At 46.6% G+C, this 4921-nt stretch overlaps 4 annotated features.

Annotated features, from left to right (window-relative positions):
- Positions 3961 to 4461: a transcriptional cis regulatory region, noted in NCBI's record as "intergenic|chrX:48658825-48659325 region (GRCh37/hg19 assembly coordinates) targeted for CRISPR interference". NCBI's record gives its function as "positively regulates GATA1, HDAC6 and PLP2 gene expression in K562 cells {active_cell/tissue: K562}" and the evidence as "EXISTENCE:mutant phenotype evidence [ECO:0000015][PMID:31784727]".
- Positions 3961 to 4800: a biological region, named in NCBI's record as "CRISPRi-validated e-HDAC6 enhancer". NCBI's record gives its function as "regulatory_interactions: GATA1 | HDAC6 | PLP2".
- Positions 3969 to 4800: an enhancer, noted in NCBI's record as "fragment used in the e-HDAC6 reporter construct". NCBI's record gives its function as "activates a MYC promoter by reporter assays in K562 erythroleukemia cells {active_cell/tissue: K562}" and the evidence as "EXISTENCE:reporter gene assay evidence [ECO:0000049][PMID:27708057]".
- Positions 4164 to 4210: a transcriptional cis regulatory region, noted in NCBI's record as "e-HDAC6 or chrX:48659028-48659074 region (GRCh37/hg19 assembly coordinates) targeted for CRISPR interference". NCBI's record gives its function as "positively regulates GATA1 and HDAC6 gene expression in K562 erythroleukemia cells {active_cell/tissue: K562}" and the evidence as "EXISTENCE:manual assertion [ECO:0000218][PMID:33828297]" and "EXISTENCE:mutant phenotype evidence [ECO:0000015][PMID:27708057]".

The raw sequence follows: 4921 nt of genomic DNA on the forward strand, positions 1-4921 counted from the left end.
AGGACCCTGACTGTGTGTGGAACCTCTTGCCTTCATTGTTGACAATGATCCCTGATGTTGCCCTGCACAACAATCCATGACCTCACACCCTATCCCATAGAGTCCACAGGAACCCATGATCCAACTCTCAACATGAACCTCAGTCTTTAACTTGTATAGAAAACCACTTCCTGACCTTATGGCAGGAATGCCTGTCTTGACCATTTACTTTAAGCCCTGACCTCAGCCTATACAGGCACCTATGGCCTCACCTGATACAGGACCCCCCCTTCTCACTATATAGGTCGCATTTATTGATGCTGCACGAGGCTCCTGGGCCTTACCTTGTATTAGCTCCACTACCCTGACCCTCTACAGCAGGGGTTCCCAACCCCCAGGACACGGACTGGTACTGGTCCATGGCCTATTAGGAATTGGTCCACACAGCAGGAGGTGGGCAGCAGGCAAGCAAGCATTACCACCTAAGCTCCGCCTCCTGTCAGATCAGCAGTGGCATTAGATTCTCATAGGAGCACGAACCTTATTGTGAACTGTGCATGCAAGGAATCTAGGTTGCGTGCTCCTTATGAGAATCTAACTACTGCCTGATGAGCTGAGGTGGAACAGTTTCATCCCCAAACCATCCCCCACCATCCGTGGAAAGACTGTCTTCCACGAAACCGGTCCCTGGTGCCAAAAAGGTTGGGGACCGCTGCTCTACAGGAAGCCTGACCCTAAAACTGTTCCAGGACTTCTGACTGGTCTCTGCAGAAAGCCTTTGTCCTGAACCTCAACAGAAATCCTTTACTTTTACAGTAATTTATTTACAGGAATCTCTGTAATTTACAGGAATCTCTGATCTTTATAGGAACTCCTAGCTTTACTCTCTGGAAATACACTGCTTACCCTGAACAGGAAGCTTAATGTGATTCTCTATAACAGCCTTTTCCCTGGCCTTGTCCCAGAAGCCCCACCTGCACCCTGTACAGGAACCACTGCCCTGACCCAACAAAGAAACACCGACCTGAATCTCTGAAGGGGCAGTGTCCTAACTACACAGAGGATCTTTGTCCTGAACCCGCACAGGAACCTCTATTACCCCCAGCAGGAACCTGTGCCCTGAGCTAGCACAGAAAATCCTGCCCTTACACTCAACAGGAACCTTTGATTTGCCTCTTTAGAGTAATCCAAAGAATGAACCAGTATAAAAAACCTCTACACTGTACAAGAACCTCTGTTCTGTACTTGTTAAACAACCCATAATCAGAATCACCATGAATACCTGCCTGGAGACTGTACAGGAACCCCTGACCTAACCCCCAATGGAATCACCTGATCTGTCTGTCTCTAGTAACACAGCTCTGATCCTGGACAGAAATACCTGGCCTGAGTACGCTGTGATCCTCTGGCCTGGCCGTCTACAGAAAACCACTCTCCTGGCCTCAAAAGGAACACCTAACCTTAATCTGTATGGGAAAAAATGCCTTCACAGTTTTCCCTCTCACTTTACAATGTCTCCAACCTTTGTATTTCCCTGCAAACCTGCCTTACCAGGTAACAGAATCATTCTCCTGACCCCAGACAGGAAACACTAACCTGACCCAGAGATGCTCCTACCCCTACACAGTAAGAGTCCCTGTCTCAATGCTTTAAAGAGAAATTTCTATAGCAGTGCTGTCCAATAGAAATATGTGAGTCACACGGGTAATTTTATATTTTCAATGTAGCCACATTAAAAAGAGAAAAAAAAGATAAAATTATTTTCAATAACATCAATATACTTAACTTTACCCAATATATTCAAATATTATTTTAACATGTAATCAATATAAAAATTACTGAGCTATTTTAAACTTTTTATACTGAGTTTTGTGATCTGGTGTACATTTCACATTTATAGCACATCATCTCAAGTTAGACTGGCCACATTTCAAGAGCAGTAGCCACACGTGGCTGGTAGCTACCATATAGGACAGCATAGGTCTGTGGAGTCTACGGAACCCTATAGCAGACACTGCTATAAGCTCATTGAGACCTGTTCCTGTTCTTCCTGAGCTCACTCTACCTATTCCAGCCTCCTCTGCAGATAGATGTGGGCACATGACAGAGTTCTGACCAATGGAGTATGGGCAAAAGTGACATATACCAGTTCCAGGCCTGACCCATAAAAATCTCTCATGCAATCCTCCATTTCCTCTCTTTCCCTGTCTACCAACTGAAAACCAACTAACTCCAAGGACCTAGAGGAGGACAGAGTCACAAAATAGAGTTTGCCTGGGTCCATGAATGAACAGTAGTAAATATTCAGATTGGCTTTTGAATGAGCAAGAAATAAACATTTATTCGTTAAGCCCCTGAAATTCTGGGTTACAGCAGCTAGGATAATTTAGCCTAATTAATAATAATCTCTCCCCCTCTCTCTCTCTCCTTTTTTTTTTTTTTTTTTTTTTTTGAGATGGAGTCGCCCAGGCTGGAGTGCAGTGGTGCAATCTTGGTTCACTGCAACCTCCGCCTCCCAGATTCTCCTGCCTCAGCCTCCTGAGTAGCTGGGATTACAGGTGTATTAGCCCGGCTAATTTTTGTAGTTTTGGTAAAGATGGGATTTCACCATGTTGGCCAAGCTGGTCTCAAATTCCTGACCTCAAATTATCTGCCCACCTAGGCCTCCCAAAGTGCTGAGATTACAGGCGTGAGCCACCACGCCTGGCCAGTAATTTTTTTTTTTTTTTTTTGAGACAGGATCTCACTCTATTACCCAGGATGGAGTACAGTGGCACAATCTCGGCTCACTGCAACCTCTGCCTCCCCTCCCAGGCTCAAGCGATCCTCACACCTCAGCCTCCCGAGTAGCTGGGACTACAGATGCACACCACCACACCCAGCTAATTTTTGTGTTTTTTATTGAGATGGGGTTTTGTAATGTTGCCCAGCTGGTCTCAAACTCCTGAGCTCAAGCAATCTGCCCTCCTCTGCCTCCCAAAGTGCTGGGATTACAAGTGTGAGCCATTCTGCCTGGCCAATAATAATCTCTTGACCGAAATCTAGACACCTGATCTCACTGTCTATATGAACACAAGCTCTGAACCTATACAGAAACACCTGTGACCCAGTACTGGCCCACCTGATCTCTTTGTAGGAAGCTGTCATAACATAGGTCTAAGAAGCCCCATCCTGGCCACGAATGGTGGCTCACACCTGTAATCCCAGCACTTTGGGAAGCTGAAGCAGGCAGATTGCTTGAGTCCAGGAGTTTGAGACCAGCTTGGGCAACATGGCGAGACCCCATCTCTATAAAGAAAAAAAAATTAGGCAGGCATGGTGGCATGCACTTGTAGTCCCAGCTACTTGGGAGGCTGAGGTAGGAAGACAGCTTGAGCCCAAGAGGTTGAAGCAGCAGTGAGCCGTGTTCACACCACTGCACTCCAGCCTAGGCAACAGAGTGAGACCCTGTCCCCTGTATCAAAAAACAAAAACAAAAAAACAAAAAAACAAAACCTTAATCCTTAACTTGCACAGGAACAGGAACCCATAGTCTGGAGCTCTCTAGAAACCCCTGCTTGATTCAGTAAAGGTACAATATAGAAACCATAGGAATCCCTGTCCTCATTCTGTCCAGGAACATTTGGAATGACCCACCAGAGGTACACTAGAAGTGACCTGACCCTGCCCATGAATCCCTGTCCTCACACACCTCACACAAAAGGAATACCTCTCCTTAGGAAAAAAGGCCCCTACCCTCAATCCTGCAAAAGAATACCAGCCAGATAGAGACCAAGGCCTGACACTACAGCACAGATCGGCAAACTATGGCATTCAAGCCAAAGCCAGACTGTGGGCTGTTTTACATTTTTAAAGGGTTGTTTTTTAAAAAGAGAAAAAAAGAAAAATGCCACTGAGACCGTATGTGGCCTGCAAAGCCTAAGATGTTTACTCTCTGTCCCTTTATAAAGTTTGCTGACCCCTGCTCTTCAGAAACCTCTCTTCTGATCCAACAGAAAAATGGGCCTTGACCCTTTGCAAGACTCCCTACTCTATCAGGCTGCAGGTATCAGAACTCTAGAATTTTTTTGTAGTGTGTTATCATTGTATGTGTTTTCTTTGGTGAGTGTAGGGGTTTAAAGGTCTTAGGTCTGCAACTCTTTTGCGCTGAGACAAAAGATAGGTTCACGTAGGAGGGGTGAGAGGGAAGAGGCGGCAGGACATCTTCAAGAGGATCAGAGGGCAAAGCTACTGGGCGGTGAGACCGTCAATCTGTCAGTCTGATGCAGAACCCCCGGACTGCTTATCTCTCCGGTCCCAGCTTATAGCCCGGTAGGAAATGGTGGAGAATGAGACAGGGAGATTAGGAGGACAAACCGGCCTCCTGCAGAGCTGACATTTAGACATGGAGTGGGAGTTGCGGGGGAGAGGGGGTGCCTAGGGACAGCTCCCCAGACGCACACACACTTTCTATTACTGCTTGGGAGCAGTGGTTACCCGTTGGAGGGGGCAGATAGGGAGAGCTGCTGCCCATGAGAACTCCCATCCTCAAGGCCATTCTGGCCCTGGGCACTATTATTATCACAACTTTCCAGATGAGGAAACGGAGCACAGAACTGTTCAGCAACTTGCCCAAAGTCACATGGTTAAGTCCCGTAACCTCAGTTTCCTTATCTGCAAAGCAGCCTTAATAATGGGAACTACCTCATAGAATTGTGGTTTACAACGATGCCTGTCACATAATACTTGCTATCATTACCATTCCCTGCCCCCACTAAGACTCCTTCCACTCAGAATATTGCGGCAGAATATTAATAGCTAATATTCGGCCAGTGTTTCCTGTGTACCACCATAGTGAATATTAACTCGGAAAATCCTCACATTTAGCATCGTCACCACGCCTATTTTGGCCGCCACCACCAACGTCCAGTGGCAACCTCGCTCTCGGCCCAGCCACAACCAG

The sequence above is a fragment of the Homo sapiens genome, chromosome X (assembly GCF_000001405.40).
Source record: "Homo sapiens chromosome X, GRCh38.p14 Primary Assembly".
NCBI lineage: Eukaryota > Metazoa > Chordata > Mammalia > Primates > Hominidae > Homo > Homo sapiens.